Source organism: Homo sapiens, chromosome 13, assembly GCF_000001405.40.
Source record: "Homo sapiens chromosome 13, GRCh38.p14 Primary Assembly".
Taxonomy (NCBI): Eukaryota; Metazoa; Chordata; class Mammalia; order Primates; family Hominidae; genus Homo; species Homo sapiens.
In genome coordinates, this window is record NC_000013.11 from 79,356,283 (window position 1) to 79,382,524 (window position 26,242).

Below are 26,242 nucleotides of genomic sequence, written 5' to 3' on the forward strand. Positions count from 1 at the left end.
CACCTAAGCCCAGGAGGTCGAGGCTACAAAGAACCGTAATCATGCCACCTCACTCTGGCCTCAGTGACAAGAGTGAGACTCTGTCTCAAAAAAAAAAAAAAACAAACAAAAAAAAACAAAAAAGTAGTTGGAATCAAACTGCCTGGCTCAAACTTTGGCAGCTACTCTCACATGAACATGATCAAGTTACTTAACCTTTCTGGGCCTTGTTTTCTTTTTCTACAAATGAGAATAACCATATCCACTCTTCAGTGTTAAGAATTAAATAATTCACTTAGAACAGAGATTGTACACAGTCAGAAGTATTCAATAAACATTAATTATAACTATAAAGATAATTTTGGTAACATTTTAATAATTATACATTTTTTAAGACTTTATAAACATCAATTTCATCACTATGTTTAATTAGCATGAAGCTAAAGAGTTTTGAAAATTGATTTTGAAAAACATGTTTTAAGAACAATAATACAGGTAGTACACAGACATGGCAAAAGAACCAATCAACAGAAGATTTCAACCTCACTTGTAATTGAGTAAATGCAAATAGAAGCAATAGTGAGGTATGTTTTGCCCCTCAGCTTTAAAAAAAATTTTAAATATTACCAGTGTAGTTAATTGTGTGAAGAATATTTTGAAAACCTTTTTATGACTAGATATAGTGGTAGATCAAATGAAATTGCCATAAAAAGACAACTCAAAGATATTCAAGATTAAGTAAATAACCACAGGGTAATGTGTATACTATGGGCTCATAAATAGTTTTAAGTTTGTGTACAGATAAATAGACACAGAATTGTGTAACAATCTAAAATAACACATGATAAACTGTTAACAATAATGTAATTATAGATGGGCAGGGGAATGGAATAGACAGTTGAAAGGGAACCATTTCCTTTAAATTCTATGTATATATCTCTGTTGCCCTACCTGAATCAAACATGAATCTTTTTCCCGCTCTATTACTTTTATAGTACTTTTCAATGGCAAGAAAACAAAACTTTCCAAAACATCCTAAGTTGTTAGGATGAATTGTATCCTCTAAAATTTGTTTTTATTAAATTATAAAATATAATTATTTTAATTGCAAAAAGAACACCATACAAAATGGGGGAAAAATTCAACATACTATTTCAACACTTTCACCATATCACATAATATAAACTCAATACTAAAAAAACACCCAAGTTACATATACCCAAGCCAAGGTCTAATTATAGGTGCAGTCAAATACAAATTACTGTTAGTGTTACTTACCTTGAAGAATATTCAAAAGTGGTAAAGAAAAAGTAAATGTTTAAACTAATTACAGATTACAAGGTATCTGGGCCCCAAAAGTCTCTATTAAGTGCATCCCACCATAGGAGTGACAAAAATCTGACTAAAATTTCTGCTGAAATGATTTTGAGAAACTGAGGAACTGAAAACTATTGTAAGATTGGATTTTACCAGTGTGATTAACTTTGCTGTAGTTTTATGACAACCTTTATTAGGTAAAAAGTTTATGATAATATGATCAATTGAAACACTAAAAATTGTATTTTTTCCTAAAAGGTAGAGTTCCATTTCATGTCCAATTTTCCCAATTCAGAATAACAATTTTTTTTTTTTTTTTTTGAGACAGAGTTTTGCTCTTGTCACCCAGGCTGGAGTGCAGTGGCGCAATCTCGGCTCGCTGCAACCTTAGCCTCCCAGATTCAAGCAATTCTCCTGCCTCAACCTCCCGAGTAGCTGGGATTACAGGTGCCTGCCACCACACCGAGCTAATTTTTGTATTTTTAGTAGAGATGGGGTTTCACCAGGTTGGCCAGGCTAGTCTCGAATTCCTCACCTCAGGTGATCCGCCCGCCTTGGCCTCCCAAAGTGCTGGGATTACAGGCGTGAACCACCATGCCCAGCCTTAAAATATTTATTTATAAAGGTAGTTTTCTTATTACATTAAGTTCCCTAAACAGAAAGAAGAGATAACAAAACCATTTCATGGCTCTTACCTGTAAGTTAACCAAGGTTCCAAATCGACTAAAATGTTCATTAAGTTTGCTGATATTATTTAATTCTGGAGGAACTTTTCTAAGTTCAAGCTTGGTATTTTCATTTCCAAATTGAACCTTCTTCTGAAAGCCTGGGCTGTTTGTTCTATTAAAATTTGGTCTGCAAACAAAATTCAAGTTAGTCAATACATTTATAAATCCTGACCCTAACCAAATACAAGGGAATAAAGTTTAACAAAATAGATATCCAATTAAGTTCAATTTTCCCCCAAACTGAAATTACTGGTTGATAAAGGAAATTTAAATTTTCTTCCAACAATGAAGTTTCCAAATGAACACTGTTAGTATCTTTCATGGAAGCCAACTGAGAAGGGTTCTGCCATATCATTTGTTACTTTCCACTTCTGATCCACCTCTACTTAACATTCCTATCAGGAAAAGTCTCAATATCCTCTTTTAGTCAATTTGCATATATAACCTTTATTCTGATTCTGTAAAAGTCAGCTTACTAAAAAATATCCTATCTTAAAACTTTATGTTTTAAATTTGATTTTAAATTTTATTTTCTTTGATGACAGTCTCAACCTCTTTCCCGCTTTATTTAAAAAAAGAAAAAAAGAATTGTTGGAACTATAAAGAATACATTTTGACACTTGAAGAAAGGACAAAACTGTGGCCTAGAGAGGTTACTCTGCATTAAATCACAGAATTAATCACAAACAACTAGAAACTATCCATTATTAAGTAGATGTTAAAGCTCTAAAAGTGATCCTAGTCTCTCTTCACAGATTTATTTATAAATGAATCACCTCACACATATCTTAACATTCTGATTCCTTACCCCTTTATCTGAAGCTCTTTCTTGACCATTCAATGCCTAGACAGCCTCTCCAACCCCCACAAAAGCCCTTTCTAGCTCCTACCTAGCAGGAACTGCCTACATATGAAAGTCTCTTGACAGGTCTGATCTATACCTCCTTCCTCTAATGATGAGAGGCTCATGACTATCCTGTATATAGCTAGTATTCAACAGGTCTAAGTTAAAGAGTGGGTTTTTTGGAGGAGGGTAAATGATAAGAGGAAAAAATTATGCCCTGAACTACCACACCATTTCTGTAAGAAAATGCTTTTCTAACATCAGACAACTAACTTGCCAATTTTTAGAAAACTCACACTTGGGGATTGCTTACAGAACAGAGTAACATTTTTGGAAGAAACCAAACCATATTGTCATAATAATACAGAAATGATCCTGAAAATCAATGCACAATTATACTCCTCAATTTTCCTGGCCACCTTACTTATCAAACCAAGTCTTCTTTGTAGGAACTCCAGGCTCTCCAGAACCAATGGTTCTTTTCCTTGATTCTGAGTCCACTACTATCCTCATACTGCTTTTATTGGGAGGCTTTTCTGTTTTAAAACAAAAGAAAATGAAAAAAATAAGCATAGGTTAATATTTTCTATTTATCATAGATACCTTCCTCATACAGGAAAATTTCTGGCTTTTGTCTAAATATATATATATATATATAATTTTTTTTTTAGAAGAAATAGAAATAAATGTATAGTAGCTCCCCCTTATCCAGTTTCATTTTTACGATTTCAGTTATCTCTAGTCAACCACAGTCCAAAATTATGGAAAACTACAGAAATAGTAAACAATTCCTAAGTTTTAAACTGCCTGCAGTTCTGAGTAGTGTGATAAAATCTCACACCATCCTGCTCCAACACTTGATCTCATCATGTAGGCATTTTATCATCCCCTATCATCCCAAGAAGGGTAAATACAAAAAGATATTTGACAGAGAAAGACAGGGACCATTCACATAACTTTTATTATAGTATATTGTTATAATTATTTCATTTTATTATTAGACATTGTTGTTTAGCTCTTACTGTGTCTAATTTATAAGTGAAACTTTATCACAGGTGTGACTGTATAGGAAAAAGCATAGTATATGTAGGGTTTGGTACTCTGTGGTTTTACACACGAGGAGTCTTGGAACATATCACCCACAGACAAAGGGGAATTACTGTACATTCAAATACAGTAATCTAAGGGTTTTTTCAAACTTATTTCAACATATTCATTTCACAATTAACTATGAAAAAGAATCAATTCTCACATGCCAAATTAAAATGTGATTCTGTAGGTCACTTCTTTGTAGATAAAACCCAAGTCATTGTTCCCATCTACCATCACCCTCACCACAAATATATATATATATATCAATGCACAAATGAGAAAATAATCACTTTGAGGCTTTAAGTTCATAGTTTTGAAATCAAATGCACAATCTAAAAGATTCAAAACTTTACACTAATCCAATAATCTTTGAGAAGTGAAAGGTTAGAGTTATGATTGAAGTGAGCTGCTTTTAAATATGGAATAGACTCATAAAATATGAATGTAATGAAAGCATACTTGCTTTAAAAAAGGAAAAGATTCAAGTCTAAAATACAGTGTAAAAGAGCTGTAAAAGTCTGTTACTTTCAACATTTTATATTTACTTACATGGCATGTAATGAGCATAGTACATTTAACCTGTTATTCCCAAATGACTCCAAAGTTTAAAACATGCAAACCTTAATCCACATAGAAAAATGTAACTTAAAAACTCCTTTTTTATAGATGGCAAAATTGATTTGTCTAAAATCCTATTTTTACATATTTCTAAACACCTAACTAACCAAAAGAACTGAAGATCTGTTTCAGCACAATATCTCTCATGGCCACAGCTATGGTCTCCTGCAGGAGGAGAGCATATACTCAATTCTAAATTTTCAACTTCTTTGTTCTCTCTGGAAATCCTACAGGTATCTCAAAACTCACTATGCAGAACGTTCAAATTATTTTCATATTAAGTCTATCTTTTATTTTTCTTAAACATTTCTATTAATGAAACTACCATTTTCCCAATCATCCCAGTCAAGTCATATTTGATATATGACTACCCACATATGCCATACATACAGAGACTCAAATCAACGCTCTAGACTCCTGCTGCTTTCCTCCATTTTCAACCTTTCCCAGGACACTGATACCTCCCATCAACATTCAAACATTACAGCTCTAATTACTCCATTTTAAAAAAAAGAAACTCTCGTAAAACCAGTTTTCCCTTTAGCAACAACATCTCTCTCCATACTCCCACAGCCCTTTCCTAATCAATGTCCACACTTACTAACTTTGCTTCCTTAACACCCACTCACTAATCCTCTGAAAACTGGCAGTTGCTCCCATTACTTCACTTTACTTGCTCGTGCTAAAATCACTCATGTCCTCACCTGTTGCTTAAGCCTATGAATACATCCCAGTCCTCTTACTGGACCTCTCAGGAGAATTTGCGGCTGTTGATCATCTTCTTTTCCATCTTAGGTATTATATTCCCTGGGTTTTTAGGAATCCCCACTCCTTGCTTTTGTCTGCAGCTTTTGGGCTTCATTTCTAAGTTTTCTATAAAGTTCTCCTTTCTCTGTCCATTTACTTTGATGCTGACATTTGTCAAGTAGTTATACTTGGGTTTTCTCATCTCACTTTACATAGCCTTCCTAAAATAACTTTCTTATCTACTGCCATGGCTTCATTCATCTTTTTCAGTGATTCTCAGTGGGGATGGGGAGAGGAAGATTTTAGAAACGCACGAGAAAGGTTTTTAAAATTATGTTAAGTCAGACCTACAGATTTTGGTATGGCTCCTTCTATCTCCCTTTACCTCCCACTGGTACTAATGGGACAGAAGAAAAGATTAAGGACCAAAGTTCTACATATGCATGATTCCAAAATCTGTATATTCTAGTCAACTGTCTCTCATGGGCCTCAGACTTCCATATCCTATTTCCCACTGGACATTTCTACTCAAATGCCCCAGGGGGACAAGAAGTTAAACACTTTCAAAACTAAATTTATCTTTCTGTCAAAGCTGTCCTTCTCAATGAATGATATTATCATCTGCCCAATTATCCAGGGCAGGAAACGGGTGTCTAATTTCATCCACTTATTACCCCTATTCTAAGCCTCCAAATTAAATAAGTTACAAGTTTTGTCAATTCTTTCCACTAAACTTATTTTTTTCATTTCTATTATTACCCTAGCCCAGCTACTATCACCTCTATTCTAAAATTCTGTAAATGCTTTTAATTAGCCTCTTACCTCCCTCTACATTACTTACTTCTTCTCTTACAGTCACAAAATTCCTTCAGTTTCTCAAAAGTATCACAGGGTACATAGGCTGTATCTATTCTCTTCCTCTGTCTAACTCTGACTTATCCTACATCTCTAGGAAACATCCTGTATCTAGCACGTGCGATGTTTCTCTGTCCAGTGGTACCTTCCAAGGACCGGTTCTGCAAAAGGATTTTTGGTCTTATTCCTGTCTCCCAAGTCTGGTTCACCAGCCCTTTTGGAGAATCTGTGACCTATCCAACATCTTTTGTTTTTTACTTTAATATGTTCCGTACCTGAAGGTTCACTAAGAGAGGGAATAATGTGTTTTGCCTCCAGTAATTGAAATGGGTTTGCTCCATCTCATCTGTATTCTCTAATTCGGAATCCCTTTCATTGATATATATTTAAAAGAAGGGTATTAAAAACACAGAAGCAAGTTCCTCTTGGTATATACTCAGCAAATGATCTAATATTAAATAGTTTTATGTAATGTATTTTTCCCCAATAATCATTTTAATGAATTGTTTTTCTGCCTAAAATTGTCAGCACTGGTTTTGTTGACTAGAAATGGAAAACTACTTAACCCTTCCTCCTCCCTATATCCAATCATGACATCATCCATCAAGTTTTCCACCTCCTTAGAACTCTGCAAAAAATAACTGTCAGGGCCTCTAGGTAACTTTTACATTAGTAATTTCAATGCATCAAAGGGCCCAAATTTCTTTCCTTTTGCTGAATAATTGCCCTCAAAATTTAAAGCAGTAAGCATAAAAGTTTAACTATCACATAATAATAAGTCTATGACAAATTTAAATTAAGGCCATCTATAGGCTATTAGGAACGTGTAATAATTATATAATTAACAATAAATAAGCTTTTTATGTATCTGTCACAATCCAGGACAGTAAATTTAAAATCCAAACTGGGAATAGATGAGAACACATGGTGGGAGGAGGGAGAGGACTAAAAAGAGATAAGAAAACAGAAGGACTAAAGGCAATCCTCAATTTGGATGGGTTGCTAAATCAGTTGTTTGGTACATAAAATCACTGTTATTAATGGAAAAATCAATCCTAAACTAGCTAACAAAAATGGTACATGATGTATCTAAAGAAGAGTACTAAAATAATCACTATGTACAATAATGATTCTATGAGAAAAAGCATTCAAATTTCTAAGTAGGTATGACAGACATTTCTCTCTCAACAGGATCACTTTCTGTAACAATATGCATTAAGAGCTGAAATTACCACACATCCAACTTGTACATGGTAAGATTTAAATGCAAGGGGTTTGATCCCCTTGCTTCTCTTGATCACAACCAGAAATTGCCCTAGCATGTGAATGGATCTAATAAATATTGACCTGTAGTAGCATGTATTTACAGCTCCAAAGCAGCAAGGTAGAAAGAAATGACTTTAGTGGGAATCCCCAGTAAAATGTTAATTGAAGTGGAAATTCCCACTACAAGGTTCCCAGTAAAAGCAAGGAATATTGGTATGAGGAAAACAAACTACATGCTAAATAGTTATCCAAAGAAGAAAAGAGGGTTTCTGTGAACTAGCCAGGTGGGAGACAGGTTCAGGATATAGGTAAACATCACACAACAGTTAAAATCTTAAGTGGCCACTTTTCAATTACAAGGAATCCATATATCCCTCACATACAAGCTGTTAAAAAAAATCTTTTTTCTATTGTTGTTAATAATAGCTATTGAAATTCCTCAAAGAGAATTTAAGAGGAATGGGTATCCACATTAAATGTTGTCCTATGATCTAAAAGAGGATATAAATCTGAATTAAAACATTCCTTACACCTTCATTACAAAAAGTCCTTTAAACATTCAAGGAAGATGCTCAGAATCTGATAGCTAGCTTCCAATGAATAAAAGAAAAAACACAAAGTATATGTAAGTAATCACACATTTACCAAACTCCATTAGGCACTGTTACTTACTAACTAAGACTTTTATTCACAACTGACGAAGCATGATTTTTTAATTCTGACTAGGTAAGACAAGAAAAGACTGGAAAGAAAATGGGATTTAAAACTTAATTGAGGTGGTTAGGGAAAAAGATATATTTTTTGTTAGCCCAGGAAATATTTTCCATTATGTCTGACAATCCTTCATTTCCCTATATCAAATGTGATCTGTAGCAAATACTGTATTTTCCAAATTAATGTGAACTTTCTCCCTCTGAATCTTATTAGTTTACATTTACATCTCTAGTGTAGCACTCTAGATGTAGGGCACTCTAGATGTAGGGCACTTTGCTGCCCTAGCTTGTGACTATGTCAACCCAAATTGTACCTTTTAGAAATTTTATCCAAAAGTCTGTCTCCTCTAAGAAAATTTTAAGAGTCATTTCTTAACACATGATATCCTTTGCTTAAAAATATACGCAAACTAATATCAAATTTTAACAGGTGAAGAGTCAGCAAAAATAAATACCAAGCACTATTTGATTTTTCAAACTAGGAATAAACTTATCTTTAGGAATTAAAGCGTTACTCTCAAGATTACAAATGATACAAATTACTAAAAAAAAAAAGGCTACCCAAGAAAATGTGCTTCTTTAAGGAAATTCCTTTCCTTCTTGGACAGTGTAATAATTGTATAATAAAGTGTCACCTCTACCACAAATACAGAATTACACAGTATATTTTCTCCAACGGGGGAACGAAGGATACAGGGAACAAACAAAATCGCCATCCCAGCCAGTCACGGGGGCTCAAGCCTATAATCCCAGCACTTTGGGAAGCCAAGGCGGGCGGATCACTTGAGGTCAGAGAAGTTCAAGACCAGCCTGGCCAATACGGTGAAATCCCATCTCTACTAAAAATACAAAAACTAGCTGGGCATGGTGGCAGGCACTTGTGATCCCAGTTACTCAGGAGGCTGAGGCAGGAAAATCACTTAAAGGGGAGGCAAAGGTTAGAGTGAGCTGAGATCACGCTACTGCACTCCAGCCTAGGCCACAGAGTGAGACTCTGTCTCCAAAAATAAAATGAAATAAAATAAATCACCATTCCTTATCCAACCCCAATAAAGGCAAGACCAACTGTTCTTTATAAATGTTTTCCCACTGTTTATATTATGAAAATGACAGGAAGGAAAGATTAATTATAGTACCTCTGGGTGGCAAATCCATATCCCCTGATGTTAGTCCTATCAAGTTGGGCCTTTGTGCATGCACTCTGTGTCTATACATAGGTCTGGAAGTGTTTGTTATGCTTGGGGCTTCAGGATTGTAGCCATCTGTGTCATATGTATCTGGTAATACAAAAACTGTAATTAAAAAACAATTATAAAACTCCACTTGGTAATTTTTTAATATTGATAAGAGAAAAAGTAAACAATATAACATATTAACATATAACATGCTCTATATGTATCAAAAAGAAAATAACTTTATTTAAAAAAGTTATTAAAAAGAAAATGTTTTTTTGAAAACATTCAAAACTGAGGGCTTATTTAATGTTCATTCACCACGGCTACATAATTTTAGTGAGAAAAGTAGTCCTCACAGAGCAATTCTCTCTAGACATTTTAAAATTCTTCATCTAAAACTGTGTTACATTACGAATATAAAAAGGGCCAAAACTGCACCTGCAGTAAAAAGAGAGGGTGGAGCAGGAGGAGGCTGGTGATGAATGCCAGTTGTTACTACAGTAGGAACAGAACTGGTTGCAGAGTTTGGAGGAGCATCCATGCCAGATGGCTGCAAAGGAGGAAGTGGAGGTGGTGGTCCTGTCAAAACCAAAGAATAAGAAATATCATCTGAAAGCAAACAAATAAAACAAGTTATTGCACATCCGAACATAATCTTCTCATTTATCAAACTATAATATCTACAAACACCAAGCCCTTACAACTGAATTAGATATCCAGGGTAAAATATCCTTTTAATACATTCCAAAGCAGGTTTGCCTTAAGCTATGAAGGCCTGCAGGCAGCTGGGTTTTACCAGTGATATACTTAATTCACAGGGTCACTCCAAACCATAGTAACTGGCTTGGCACAGGCTACAAAGTGGAGGTGTATTCCAAATGGAAGTATACTGCTATTAATTTCTATCAGGCATTTTTGGGATTCCTTTAGATACTTTTAATTTAAGAATCTATTAAGTTTTAAAAATAGACTAAGAATGGCTAGATAAATACAGGGAAACAAACAGATTTACTTACCTGTAACAGGTGGGAGACTGGGTGGCAATGGACCTGGCGGTGGTACTGGGGGCCTGAGATTCACAGGTGGGGGTGTAAGAATTGGTGGAGGTGGGGGGAGTCCAGGAGGAGGTGGTCCTTCAACAACAGGAGGCTGTGCTGGGAAAGGCAGCATACCAGGAAGATTCACATCTTCTACAACTACTGGATCACTTCCATGATCAAAAGGACACATGTCTCCTCTCATACAAAAACCCTTTTCTATGAGGAAGGAATAGTTAGAAACAAATGTCAAAAGCACTGGAAATATATATTTTCTCTAAGTTAGCAAAAGTAAAATATTTAAAAATATGAATATTTTTAATATTGGACAAAAGTATAATTAACCATTTCCCAAGAGCTACCTGATCTTCTCCAGTAATATAAATACTTGTAAAGTGATAGTATATTTAACATACTGATATAGTTAGGATGTTTATCCTCTCCAAATCTCATGTTGAAATGTGACAATCTGGCTGGACGTGGTGGCTCAGGCCTGTAATCCCAGCACTTTGGGAGGCTGAGGCAGGTGGATCACCCGAGGTCAGGAGTTCGAGACCAGCCTGACGAACATGGTGAAACCCCATCTCTACTAAAAATACAAAGATTAGCTGGACGTGGTGGCTGGCGCCCATAAGCCCAGCTATTAGGGAGGCTGAGGCAGGAGAATCGCTAGAACCCGGGAGGCAGTGGTTGCACTGAGCAGAGACTGTGTCATTGCACTCCAGCCTGGGGTATAGGGGGAGACTCCATCTCAAAAAAAAAAAAAAAAAAAAAAAAAAGAAGAAGAAGAGGCAAAAGAGAGAAATGTGACAAACGATGTTGGAGGTGGGGCCTGGTAGGAGGTGTTAGGGTCATGGGGGTAGATCCTTCATGAATAGCTTGGTGCCCTCCCAAGGTAACAAGTGAGTTCGCCCTCTATTAGTTCACAGGAGCTGGTTGTTTAAAAGAGCATGGCACCTCCCCCACCACCAACCCCACTCTTGCTCCCTTTTAGTTGCTCTCCCTTCGCCTTCTACCATGATTGTAAACTTCCTGAGGCCTTCACCAGATGCAGATGCTGGCACTACACTTTTTGTACAGTCTGCAGAACCATGAGCCAAAGACACCTCTTTTCTTTATAAATTTCCCAGGCTCAGGCATTACTTTAGAGCAATGTTAAACTAACGTATACATACTAAAAAAACAAAAAAAACACACAAATGAAAATAACCTAACGAGATGAGACTTAAATATAATTTTTGTCATATTTTTGTCTTTAGAAATGTCCTTCATTTAAATCTCTTAAAACTAAAAAAAATTGCAATGATGGCTTTAATACTACTTATAAATCTTTTACGGTAAATCCTTAAAAGTCTTCAATTCTTTTTATTTTTTTATTTTTATTTTTTTTGAGACGGAGTCTCGCTCTGTCACCCGGGCTAGAGTGCAGTGGTGCGATCTTGGCTTACTGCAAGCTCCACCTCCCGGTTTCACGCCTTCTCCTGCCTCAGCCTCCCGAGTAGCTGGGACTACAGGCGCCAGCCACCACGCCCAGCTAATTTGTTGTATTTTTAGTAGAGACGGGGTTGCATACCATGTTAGCCAGGATGGTCTAGATCTCCTGACCTCATGATCCACCCACCTCAACCTCCTAAAGTGCTGGGATTACAGGCGTGAGCCGCTGCGCCCAGCCAAAAGTCTTTAATTCTTTAATAAAATTCTTACAAAGGTGACATTTACATTTCTAGATACATTTCTATTTACAGTCCAATAATCACTCATTCTAAAGAAATGAGTTTTGTCAATAATGTTTCAGTAGCAGATTCCCTGATAAAAACTCAGTAGATATTTACTCATTTGGTAAACTCCCACAATTTATTAAGACTTACTTGCAAATAAATACTACCTTTAAATTGATAATCAAATTAGTGGCAACTAATAAATGTTTCAATCATATTGAGGAATTCAAAAAGTGACTAAGGCTAATTTCCCACTTTTCAGAGGTAAGTCTTTGAATAACTATGTACAACATAAACACAGAATTTAGGCAGCTGGAAATATTAATTAAATACTTTATCAAACAGCTGAAAGACTTACCATCATAGTCTCTACACCGTTTCTTTGGCATGGGTGGTCTTACGTAAGAGTTATGGTCCACTTGGTCTTCATGAAATTCAGACCAACTTTCGGTAGTGTTGTTTCCATGATGAGTAGGAGCAATTACTGTAATAGTGCTGCTCAAAGTAGGTACAGGGTAGTGGCCAGATGAAATACTAGGTACCGAAGAGACTGGAGTATAATTATTTTCTAATGGATCTGTTCTATCCAGGTCATATTTAGGTTTTACCAGATCCCTTTCTGCAACGAAAGATAAATGACATATAAAACTACACTGTATTAAAAAAAAAAAAGTCCCAGATCTAAGAAATAGTGATATTTTTATAAACATAGAAAAAAAATTTTAAATTTTGCATAATAATCATTTTCTTTTAAAAAATATTCAATTAATATACAATGTTAAAAGGTAAGCGATTTCTTTTTAATATAACCCAAACTACAAAACCAGGTAATGCTGCCATATTTAATGTTTTTCCTTAGAGTTTTGTTTATAGAAAAAAGGAATTTTATATTTTCTTCATCACAATCTTGGTATGCATAATTACAGACCACAAAACAAAACATGCAATAAAGTATGGTTATTTTTCCTGTGATGAACATTTTGTAGTCATCCATTTAAAGTTACTACAATGGCTGTTATATTAAGATAAGAACGGATGACCCAGAAAGAGTTCATATTAAACATGCACAAAGAAATTAACTAGACTATACATATGGTCCTCAGGAAACAGAAAAGAAATTAAAGAGATTAGTTAAGTGAAGTAACATTCCATGAAGCCTTGTATACCTAGATCACAGCAGGGGAAAATTTCTAAGAAAAGAGTAACAGAATACAGGGCTTATACAAAGGCCATAAATAGTATTAAGAGTAGCAAAAAAAGTTTGAGAAAAGGTGCTTTACTGAAAAGTGTTTTAGGTGTTTTACGACAACATCTTACTTTCAATAACATGTACTAGAAGAAAATTATACATGTTGGGAATGACACGCTCTTGCAAAAATATATATCTGAAATAAAACTTTTTAAACTTTTAAAAATAGTTTTGAAGTATAACTGATATATAATAAACTGAACATATTTAAACTGTATAAGTTTTAATCAAGATATAACACCTCTGAAACCAATACCACAAATAAATGATGTACATATTCATCACTTCCAAAAGAATCCTCATGCCCCTTTGTAATCTGTAATCTATCATCCCTCCTTTACTCCATTTCAGGCAACGACTGGCTTTGCTCTCTGTCATCACAGATTAGTTTGCATTTTTAAAAACTAGTCTGGGCACAGTGGCTCAGGCCTATAATCCCAGCACTTTGGGAGGCTGAGGCGGGTGGATCACCTGAGGTCAGGAATTCGAGACCAGTCTGGCCAACCTGGTGAAACCCCCAACGTGACTCTACCAAAAATACAAAAATTAGCCGAGCATGGTGGCACTTGCCTGTAATCCCAGCTACTTGGGAGGCTGAGGCATGATCATCGCTTGAACTCAGGAGGCGGAGGTTGCAATGAGCTGAAACAGCACCACTGCACTCCAGCCTGGGCGACAGAGCAATACTCTGTCACAAAAACAAAGATTAAGAAAAAAAATTTTTTAACATACATATGTATTGTCCTGCTTCTTTCACTCAGCATAATTATACTGAGATTCATCCATTTTGTTGCATGTATCAATAGTTCTTTTCTTTTTATCCATGTTATGGTATGGATATACCACAACATGTTTATACATTCACCTCTTGATGGACATTTAGGCTGTTTCTAGATCTGGCTCTTACAAATAAGTCTGCTATGAACCTTTGTGAACAAACACCTGTGTGGACATACACTTTCATTTCTTCCAGGTAAACAGTAAGAAGTAGAATAGCGGACCCATATGCTAAGTGTAGTTTTAATATTTTTACATACTGCCAAAATGTTTTCCAAAGAGTTTCAGCTTATCTACTTTCTCACCAACATGGAATAGAATCAGTCTGTATCATCGTGGCTATCCTGTTGAATGTGTAGTGGTAACTGTGATTTTAATTTGCAAGGAATAAAACTTTTAAAGGAATTTTTAAAAAGCATTCTCTTGGACCACAGAATACATCATAATAGAAAAAAATGAAGACAACACTGACAAAATGTTAAGCAATTTTTAAAAACATTTAAACATGGAGTTTTTCATAAAAAGATAACCAAAATATATTATTTACCCCTGCTTCGTGTTCTGCTTCTGCTTCTAGTCCTGCTTCTATCTCTGTCCCTCTCACGAAGCCTCTCTTTACTCCAACTTCGACTTCGACTCCTGCTATAACTGCGACTCCGCCCTCGTCTTCTATTGTACCGGTCTCTGTATGAATCTCTTCGAGGAGGGTTTCGATCATAATCTCTTTTGCGAGAACGATCATCTTTTTTCCTCTCATCACGGCTTCTAAAGAAATATGTGATCACTTTAATACAAATAATTTTTAAGTGACACAGGAAAAAGCTAATTAAATGCAAAAGTTACATTTAATTCTTGTAACTTAACTTTCTATCCTACCATCAGACAACTGAAAAAACTGAGCTTAATATTCAGTACTTTAAATCCCTTTTAAATGAAAAACAATCTTTTTAAAGCCTTAACCCTTAGTCTTATTACACATTGGCAACTATACAATTAGGCATCTGTAGATAAAGGCATCTGTATATAAGACTTAGAGTACATATAGAACATACTATCCCGTACATATAATCTCACTTACAGACATGTATCACATGCATTGTATTCTAAGTGCTTTTGAAGCCTGAATGAGAAAAACAATTTAATCACACTAAATGGAAACAGCAGGCAAAAAAAAAACACCCACACATTAAGATTCTACTGGAATCTGAAGTTAGGAATAAAAAGATAAGCAGCTAATATATGTCAAGCACTGTTCTAAACTCACTCCCAAGATCTACAAATCTGACCTAGATTTTCATGGTAGAAACGGACCTAGTTATATTTTCCTAGACCAATAAAAGAGTAGATATTACTTGCCTCTGCGTAAAAGATAACCCAAGTCTAAACATTTGTATAAAAGATAACTTACATCGAAACACTGAGTATGGTTCAATGAACTGCTCACCTATTTTCCCTGTATCGGGAGCTTGACTGGGGAGGACTGTGATTTAGCCTTCTAGAAAACTTCTTCTCTCGCTCTTCCTCCTTAGTGATCTGATTAAAAAAAAAAAAAAAAGTGTACAAGTTTAGTAATTATTCCACTGTTAAATAGCCTTAGATAGGGCTGGGCACAGTGGTTCATGCCTGTAATGCCAGCACTTTGGGAGGCTGAGGCGGGTGGTTCACGAAGTCGGAAGTTCGACACCAGCCTGGCCAACATGGTGAAACCCTGTCTCTACTAAAAATACAAAGATTAGCTGGGCACAGTGGCAGGGGCCTGTAATCCCAGCTACTCTGGAGGCTGAGGAAAGAGAATCGCTTGAACCTGGCAGGCAGAGGTTGCAGTGAGCTGAGATCGCGCCAGTGCACACTCCAGCCTGGGCGACAGAGTGAGGCTCTGCCTCAAAACAAACAAACAAACAAAAAAAAGCCTTAGACACATTACTGCTTTAATGACTTTATTAACATTAACATTTAATTAACATTAAATAAAATTTAATTAACATTAAAATTAGTTTATATAACGTAGAAGCAAAATTGTCATCTTCTAAAATTATCCAAACAAAGTAAATTTCTCTACTAAGTATAATCATTTAACTATAATGAAATGATTACATTGGTGAGAAAACATTTTAAGCAAGTATGCTCATTTAACATAATTAATGGAAATCCAATTTTATTCCTCTTTCAAAAGTCTAACATATATTCATGTTTTGGTTTCGTGGACTTGGTGTGGTACCAAACACATCAAGGAATATAGGAGAATACATTAGAACTCACCAAGTCATAAATACATACACACACACAAACATATACATGTTTATATATATAAATATATATTTACATATTATATATATTTATGTATCATATTGTAATTTATTATATATTTTATATTATATATAATTATATGATATATATTATAATTATATGATATATATTTATAATAAATATTTTATATAAATATATTATATATTATATAAATATAAATATATTTATAATATTTTATATGCTATATAAAATATATCTTATATATTACATATTTTATATAATATATAAGATATATCTTATATATTACATATTTTATATAATATATAAGATATATCTTATATATTACATATTTTATATAATATATAAGATATATCTTATATATTACATATTTTATATAATATATAAGATATATCTTATATATTACATATTTTATATAATATATAAGATATATCTTATATATTACATATTTTATATAATATATAAGATATATCTTATATATTATATATTTTATGTATTATATATTTATATAAATTTTTATATAAATATATAAAATATATAAAAATATATAAATATATATAAATATGTATATGTTTATGTGTGTATGTATTTATGACTTGGTGAGTTCTAATGTATTTATATATTTATATATAAATATATAAAAATATAAATAAATATATATAAATATAAAATATATATTATATATAAATAAAATATATAAATATATAATATATATTATATATAAATATATATAATATATATTATATACTATATATAAATAAAATATAAATATATATTATATATTATATATAAATATATATAATATGTATAAATATACAAATATATATAATATGTATAAATATACTTATTTATATATATTACTATATATATTTATATAATATATTTATATATTACTATATATATTTATATAATATATTTATATATTACTATATATATTTATATAGTATATTTATATATTATATATTACTATATATATTTATATAGTCTATTTATATATTTATATATTATATATTACTATATATAATAATATATAATATTTTATATATATATATTACTATATATAATAATATATAATATTTTATATATATATATCTGGGAAAACAATATATAAGGTGAAATAGTTCTCCAGTTTCTCACAGCAGCATGACAGCTATATATTTCTGTTTCCTACAAGGTGCCTCCATTCACATTATATAGCTACTAGAAAGCAACCTTGGAAAATATTCTCAGTGCTACTTTCTCCAGACTATATTGTTGAGAATAATGGTCCTCAACAACAGGAACGACAGGAATCACTGTTTTTCTAGGTAATTAGAAAAAGGGACTTAGAGGTTGAACAAATTCAGGAAATATCGTGCAAGTGGCTTCTATAAATAAGATAGGGCTCAAGATTTTGTGTTACTGAGAACCATAAGATATTCTCATGCAGGTAGTCTACGCACAGGGTACACATGTCCCAGTTTATGCCAGCTGTTCCAGCATCCTTTTGATAAGGGCTTCTGACTGTCAGAATGTACCACTTTATGCTGGGCACAGTGGCTCACACCTATAATCCCAGCACTTTTAAAGGCAGAGGTGGGTGGATCACTTGAGGTCAGCAGTTTAAGACCAGCCTGGCCAACACGCTGAAATATCATCTCTACTAAAAATACAAAAATTAGCTGGGCATGGTGGCACGCGCCTGTAATCCCAAAAGGGGATTACAGGAGGGATACTTGGGAGGCTGAGAGAGGAGAATTGCTTGAACCCAGGAGGCAGAGGTTGCAGTGAGCCACTATGGGGCCACGACACTCCAGCCTGGGCAATAGACTAAGACTCCGTCTCAAAAAACAAACAAAAAAAAGTGTGCCACTTTAGATGAGAAATCAAATGGAAATCCTATTAACAGACCAAACTAGGAGAAATAATCTTTAAAGCATTCTTTCAACAGTTTGCCTTTTTAAATTCAAGTACTTTCGTACTCTTTCCACCTATTCCAGCTCTCCTCCCAGACCAGACAAAAAACCGGGTACTAATACGACCCTTCTGATGCACTCTTTCCCTTCTATTTCCTCAATGCACTTTTGCGAGTTATCTAACAGATCACCATATTCCACAGTACATGCCCATCTGCAAACTTTTAGTATAGCCACAGCATTTTAAACGTAGATTGCCATCTGGCATTTCAACAATTCTGAAAGATCAGGGATAAGTATCTCCCACAATTGGTTGAAAAAACAGGAAGTATTATTACATCAATAGATAATAAGACTAAGGCTTTGCTACTAACTCGATTTAGGGGAAGACTACTCAAGCCAAGGGACTGTGATTTACTCAAGATTTTCTGAGAATTAAAGCATACATATAATATATATATTATATATATTTTATACATTTTTTATATACTATATATTTATATTTTTATATATTTATATGATATATATAAATATATATTTATATATATCATATAAATATATATTTATATTTTAAAAATAAATAATATATATTATTCATATTTATATATATTATATATATATATTTTTTTTTTGAGACGGAGTTTAGCTCTTGTCACACAGGCTGGAGTGCAATGGCATGGTCTCAGCTCACTACAACCTCTGCCTCCCAGGTTCAAGCGATTCTCCTGTCTCAGCTTCTCGAGTAACTGGGATTACAGGCACCTGCCACCATGCCTGGCTAATTTTTGTTTTTAGTAGCGACAGGGTTTCACCATATTGGCCAAGCTGGTCTTGAACTCCTGACCTAAGGTGATCCACCCGCCTCAGCCTCCCAAAGTGCTGGAATTACAGGCGAGAGCCACAGTGCCCAGCCAAAGTATAATTTTTCACAGCAAAAATCTGAAACCAAACCAAAGTTCCACCAGTAGGCAAAACTTGAATAAACCATTGCATATCTCTATGTTGCATAAGCAATTGCCAACACAATATACACCGTCCCTTTCTTCCTAACAGAACCCTTATACTGTTAGGTATGAAATAGGTTCAGTTATAAATTACATTTCTGGTCTTCCCAGGCAGATAAAACTGATTGGGATGTTACATGTGGGTATGTGTATATGAAAATATACAAATATACATGTGTGTAAATATATTCAGATAGAGATATAAATATATTTGAGATTACATATTATAATATATATTTTATTGCATAATAAAATGTATTATTTATATGTAATCTGGAAAAAGCATAAAAGGAGAAAAAAAGGTCACAACATCAACATCTCTTACAATCTCAAAAATGACAGCAGCTACCATTTACTGAGAACCTACCATGTGCCACATGTGAAAAGTAAAATAATGTATATAAAGCACTTGATTGGTGCTTTATATACATTATTTTACTTATTCCTCACAAGAACCTTTAATATTTCCATTTCGCAGCTGAGTAAAATGAGGCTCAGAAAAGTAATGTTTTCAAGGTCACAAACCAGTGATTTGTAGAACCAAAATTTTAACCAAGATATGTGTGACCTAAAGCTAGGGCTAAATGCAGAAACATAATGGCTTGACTGCCAACAATTATTTTCACTAAAATTATAGTTTGTTTGTTTTTTTTTTCCAGACAGGGTCTTGCTCAGTTGCCTAGGCTGCAGTGTAATGCTTTGATCTGCACCCTCAGGCTCTGGGGCTCAAGCAGTTCTCCCACCTCAGCCCCTCAAGTAGTTGGGACTACAAGCATGCACCACCCCATCACACCTGGCTAATTTTAAAATTTTTTTCATAAGAGATGAGGTCTCACTATATAACCCAGACTGGTCTCAAACTCCTGGGCTCAAGTGAGCCTCCTGCCTCAGCCTCCCAGAGTGCTGGGATTACAGGCATGAGCCACCACGCTCACCCTGGCCAAATTATAATCTTTTAACATCAAATTGAAAAGATATAAATTATTATATGACTAGTAACTAAGGGTGAAGAGAGAAGGTTGTAAAATACACACAAAAATTTTGGGACCTCTTGAAGTATGAAGTCATATCCACTGTCTTGTGAAGGTCCTTGTGTTTTACTACCTTAAAAACAGTCCCCTACTAAATACATGTATGACAAAAGCAAACAGACCAATTGTCAACCTAATTATTTTCATAGAACAGATATTAAGACTCTATGTCTGTAAGATATTGTGCAGAGTAAAAGCAGGCCTGACAATACTAACCTTAGAAAGCCAGCATGCTTGTAAGGCTGGCTCCTGGGCACTTTGATTTCTCGAGGGTTCCCATTACCCCCTGATAAGGAATGGTTCACTATGCCTGAATTAGTTATGAAACAATATGGTCTACACTGAACATCTGCCTTCCTCCCAGGAGTCTGGAATTTTGGTACATACTAGGTAGGCGGTGCCTATGTGACCAGTTCCAAATAAGAACGCAGGGCAGAGTTTCTAAGGAGCTTGCCTAATTCCCATGTGTTGTTACAGTTCACTGCTAGGGGAATTAAGCACATCCTGTGCAACTCTGAGGACTTTGTAAGCTTGTGCTTGTTTTCCACTGGACTTGGCCTCATACACCTTTTCCATTTGCTGACTTTGCTTTATATCCTTTTGCTGAAATAAGCCAGGGCCATAAGCACAATTATATGCAGAGTCCTATGAGTCCTCCTAGAAAAATCATTTAAACTGGGAGTGGTCCTGAGGACTCCAACACAAAGATATAGAAGATAAAAACTCAGTTTGGTTATTCCTCTTATGTGTTTAAATAACCTGTAAGGTATTAACACAAATCGTTACCTCTTCCTTCTTTATATCTTTTTCTTGGTGTGGAAAAAATTCTACCTTCAGGCTTCCTGATGATGGCTGCTCTGGAGGAGGTAGGTAACTCTTTGTATTCACAGCATCAAAAAGTTTTTCCACAAATATCTGTGTCTCTAAAAATAAAACCAAACACCATAGATTAAAACACATTTGTTAAGATTAATTCCCCGCTTCCACATCTCTTATCTCTAATATGATGAAACATACCTTGACTTTTATAAACTAGAAAATATACTAGCACTGGCCAGGCGTGGTGGCTTACGTCTGTAATCCCAGCACTTTGGGAGGCCAAGGCAGGTGGATCACCTGAGGTCAGGAGTTCAAAACCAGCCTCGCCAGCCCTGTCTCCACAAAAATTAGCCAGGCATGATGGCAGGTGCCTGTAATTCCAGATACTAGGGAGGCTGAGGCAGGAGAATCACTTGAACCCAGGAGGCAGAGACTGCAGTGAGCCGAGATCGCGCCACTGCACTCAAGATCACGCCATTGCACTCCCGCCTGGGTGACAGAGCAAGACTCCGTCTCAAAAAAAAAAAAGTAAAAAGAAAGAAAATATCCTAATATCAACAGCTTCCCAACCAGTGTGCCATGGCACAAGTCCTGAGGCAATACTGATTCATGCTATTTTCAAGACGGTAGGGACTGGAATGGTCGCAGCCCTCTGGGCTAGTCACCTCCAGCCATGACTAAGTCTTCTCCACATCGCCTACTCAGTGTTGCAAACACAAACACTATCATAATCTAGATGTGGCAAGGTACAAAAAGCTGAAAAGCAATGCGCTAGGTAAGATTCAAAGCAGTTTCCTAAGCAGTACTGGCTTTAAATAAATAGGCAGTCATTTTCTTAATCTTTTAATCTATGTAAGAAAAAATATCAACATGCTTTAAGAATAAGCACATGGACATTACTGAGAGGTGGCATCCATTTTAAATAAGCTATGGATATACTCAATAATAATATTGTTTATTTAACTTTGTTAAAATTAGGGCTTCTTACCGAGTTCCTTTAATATTCTGTGGATAAACTTATTTTAAATAACTTTATTTATTTTTTTTGAGATGAGTCTCACTTTGTCGCCCAGGCTGGAGTGCAGTAGCGCGATCTCAGCTCACAGCAACCTCTGCCTCCCAGGTTCAAGCAATTCTCCTGCCTCAGCCTCCCGAGTAGCCGGGATTACAGGCACCCACCATCATGCCCGGCTAATTTTTATATTTTATGTAGAGACAGGGTTTCACCATGTTTGCCCGGCTGGTCTTGAACTCCTGACCTCAGGTGATCCACCCACCTCAGCCTCCCAAAGTGCTAGGATTACAGGCGTGAGCCACCATGCCAAGCCTTAAATAACTTTTTAAAATATAGTAGTATTTTTAAACCAAAGATCTTACCTTTCTGAAGAAATACATCCAGCTGATCAATACATAATGCCTTTAACTCTTTTTCACTTTTGTCTTTCTTTACCAAAGCCAGAACATATTTTGCTAGGGCGGATGGATCTGCATCACAGCTAAAGAAAAAAACCAATGTTGAAGAAAATTTAGCCAACTGCACATTCTACAAATTCCAGTTACAAACTGAATTAGTGAGAATAATAGTTAAGTGAGTTAATACATGTAAAAAGCACCCGGGTCACAGAGGACCTTGAAGAAATTTAAGTTCTCTTTATACTAACACTCCTTAATGCTATGTGTAGCCATTTTATTTCTTAAAAACATACCCATCAGTATATTAGTTTAAACAGCAAAAAAAGAAAGTCTAGAAATGGATCCAAATGTACTAGGAATTCAGATTTTATAAAAGTGGCATCCAAACCAACTAAGAAGAGATAAATTATGCAATAAACAGTATTGAGGCCAGGCACAGTGAATCAGTCCTGTAATGACAGCACCTTGGGAGACCTAGGCGGGCAGATCGCTTGAGCCCAGGAGTTCAAGACCAGTCTGGGCAAAATGGCGAAACCCAGTCTCTACCAAAAAAAAAAAAAAAAAAAAAAAAAATTAGGCATGGTAGTGTGTGCCTGTAGTCCCAGCTACTCGGGAGGCTGAGGGAGAAGAATCATCTGAGCCCAGAAGTTCAAAGCTGCAGTGATTTGGGATCACGTCACTGCATTCCAGTCTGGGTGACAAAGTAAGAACCCTATCTCAAAAAAAAAAGAAAATGTATTGAGACAACTTGGCAGTTGCCTTTTACAAAATAAACTTGGAAACATGTCAGAGGAAAACACAATTTATTTAACCCTGGAGTAAGGAAGACACAAAATCCATATTATCAAAAAAGTAATGTGATTATAAAAAACAGAACAAAAAAAAAAACTCAGAATGAAGAGTCAACCAATGAAAAACAAGCTCAGTTTATCTCATCACAAAAAGGCTAATTCCCCTAACCCACAGTGTTTTTACCGAGACTAACATTATAAGAGAAAAAAAGACAAAGGATATGAATAGATGCTAAAACATAAAATAAATAAAAATGACTCTTAAATGAGTAAAAATTCAACCTCACCCATAAGAGAAATACAAATTTAAGTTACACTGAAATATTTTTCAGTTATCAGGTTGGCAAAATCCAATAAATATGAAAATGTATTCTGGTGGCAAGACTAATGAAAACGCAATTCTAAACATGAGCTGGTGTGAGTAAACTGGTAGCTGATAGAATACTCTGGTAGTATCAAGGTCACAAATGCAATTTACATCTACGAATTTATTCTACACATATACTCACGTGTTCAAAATGACATGTGTACAAGTTATTCATTGTCATATTGATTGTAAAATCAAAAATGTGCACATGTCCATTTAGAGAGAACTGGAAAAATAAACTGTATTAAAATCCACACAAAAGAATGACATGTAGCAAAAAGATAAAAAGACAGGTAATGAAGTTTTCAACCCCTAAAGAAATCTTCATATCAATTCATTAAATTTAAAATGCAAGACAAAGAAAAGGTTTGTATAGTATTTGCCATTTGTGTTGGGGGAGAAGAGAGAAATCTGGTTTATATATATGTGGAAGGATAAATAAACTACGGCTATCTGGACAGGATGATAGTATGAACTAAGTAAAGGAGGGACAGGGTAAGAAGGGAAAGTTTTTAAAAAAAAAAAACCACATAATAATTGTATGTATTCATAGAGTACAATGTGATATTTTGATACCTGTATGCAATGTGTAATGAACAACCAGGGTAATTAGCCTATCTATCACCTAAAACATTTATTTCTTTGTGTTGGGAACATTCAAAATCTTCTCTTCTAGCTATCTGAAAATATATAATAAATTAACTGTAGTTACCCTACAGTGTTAAACAACACTAGAACTTACTCATCCAATCCAGCGTAATTTTGTATCTGTTAACCAACCTCTCCCTATCTCCCTACCACCCTTCCCAGCATTTGGTAACCACTATTCTACTTTCTACTTATATGAGACCAACTTATTTAGCTCCCATATATGAGTGGTAACATACAGCATTAATCTTTCTGTGCCTGGTTTATTTCAATTAACAATGTCAGGACGGGAAATTTTTGATGTCTGAACTATTTTCATCCAATTCAAAAGAATGATATAATTGTTTATAACTAAGCTAAAATTATTAAGATTTTACAAGTTAGAGTAACTAACAATAAAATAATAGCAGTAGTTAATTACTAACACTTACTCAACAATTACTAACACTTACTCAACACCTAGTTTGTGCCATGAACTGCACTTCTAATTTTACATACTATATTGGGCTCTCACTTTACTGATAAAGAAACTGAGGTTCAGAGAAAAGCTAAGTAGACTTCCCAAGACTACACAGCAAGGAAATGAATCAAGATTTAAAACTAAATCTCATACTCCAAAGTCCACATTCTTAACCACCACACTAGACTGCCTCTTACAACGAGGTGCCAGAAACCTGACTTCCAATTTACTTTTTAAACACCTAGAGTTACAGTCACTCCCTATCAACCAAATCAACCAGACATCAACCAAACTAGACATCAAGCTAAACATATTTCAATTTACTGGAAATCATTATGATACATAATAATATTATTATGTTTTATTGCAACTGCTGTATATAAATTCAGTCTACACTGAGTCTAAATGCTGTAATTTAATATTGGTTTGATTGTTGTGGTGAATTTTTAACTTATTAGTGGTTTTTCCAGTAACTTACCTGTCATTTTTCAATTCTCTCAACGAAATACCAAATCTATTTCATTTTTGCACCATTATTTTTTAAATAGGACATTTTAAAACTGAATTAAAATGTTAGCAGCTAAAAATCTAGAGGAAGGCTTTCATGATTTTTATAATTATTATGGTCTATAAACCACAGTTGGATAAAACAGCAAGACAGAATTAAAGAAGAATCTCTGCTCAACATCTTCTGTAGAAGCAATCTGAACTGAATAAAAAACGATTAGCCACAACAAATATACTACCATATACAGTTCTAAATCCTTGAAATAATTTGAAAGGCAGATGACTTTTTAACATTTGTTAAAAGTTCAAATTATATAGAAGCAGGGGTTATAATTTCACATTTAATGGCAAAACAACTGAATTTGCATTTGGGAAACAATTTTTCTTAAGTCCTACAAGAAGTTCCATTTTTACTTCAATATTTTTGAAAACAAAAAGCTGAGTAAAAAATATGGACCACAGAAATTTAATAATATACTGAAATGTTATGTATCAGGAACAGAAAGGCAAAACCTATGTTCTCTTTTCTATTTGTCTTAAATGTTATATTATCTGAACTTCTAGTGATGATGTTATGCAAAGTCAATTAAATAAACATTCAAATTAACTAATTAAAAAAACTATATTCATATAGCAAATTATTTTTAAAAATTATCTCCATGGCTAGCAAGATTGTTCGAGGTACTTTACCAGTTGCCACTGCTGATAAAAGGTTTGTAATTTGAATGATCTATATCTTGTCAGAGCTAGACTTTTCTTTACCCCTGCTATATACTGCTAGCATCCTGAAAATGTGTGAAAGAAAAAGCAGACCTGAAATTGCCTTATAGATCGGGGAAAAAAAGAATCAAGTTTTGAAAAGTATTTCTTAGCTCCCACAAACAACAAAATCTGCCAATAAAGTATGATTATGATCACCAAGTGCTC

At 34.6% G+C, this 26,242-nt stretch overlaps 1 protein-coding gene across 50 annotated transcripts in view; it reads right to left on the reverse strand.

Moving 5' to 3' along the window:
• RBM26 (RNA binding motif protein 26) overlaps positions 1–26,242 on the reverse strand; it is a 94,429-nt gene that overhangs the window by 44,456 nt on the left and 23,731 nt on the right. For 14 of the 50 annotated variants that reach the window (XM_047430528.1, XM_047430514.1, XM_047430529.1 and 11 more), the window contains exons 2-11: positions 22,507–22,625; positions 21,097–21,233; positions 15,560–15,648; positions 14,663–14,880; positions 12,448–12,708; positions 10,351–10,590; positions 9,773–9,943; positions 9,296–9,436; positions 3,293–3,404; positions 1,992–2,151 (exon numbers count right to left, since the gene is read on the reverse strand). In XM_047430528.1, coding sequence (XP_047286484.1) covers positions 1,992–2,151; positions 3,293–3,404; positions 9,296–9,436; positions 9,773–9,943; positions 10,351–10,590; positions 12,448–12,708; positions 14,663–14,880; positions 15,560–15,648; positions 21,097–21,233; positions 22,507–22,625 — 1,648 coding nt within the window. Of the gene's footprint in view, positions 1–1,991; positions 2,152–3,292; positions 3,405–9,295; positions 9,452–9,772; positions 9,944–10,350; positions 10,591–12,447; positions 12,709–14,662; positions 14,881–15,559; positions 15,649–21,096; positions 21,234–22,506; positions 22,626–26,242 lie in introns of all 50 variants that reach the window. The other 36 variants (XM_047430526.1, XM_047430525.1, XM_047430510.1 and 33 more) reach the window with 3 other exon arrangements.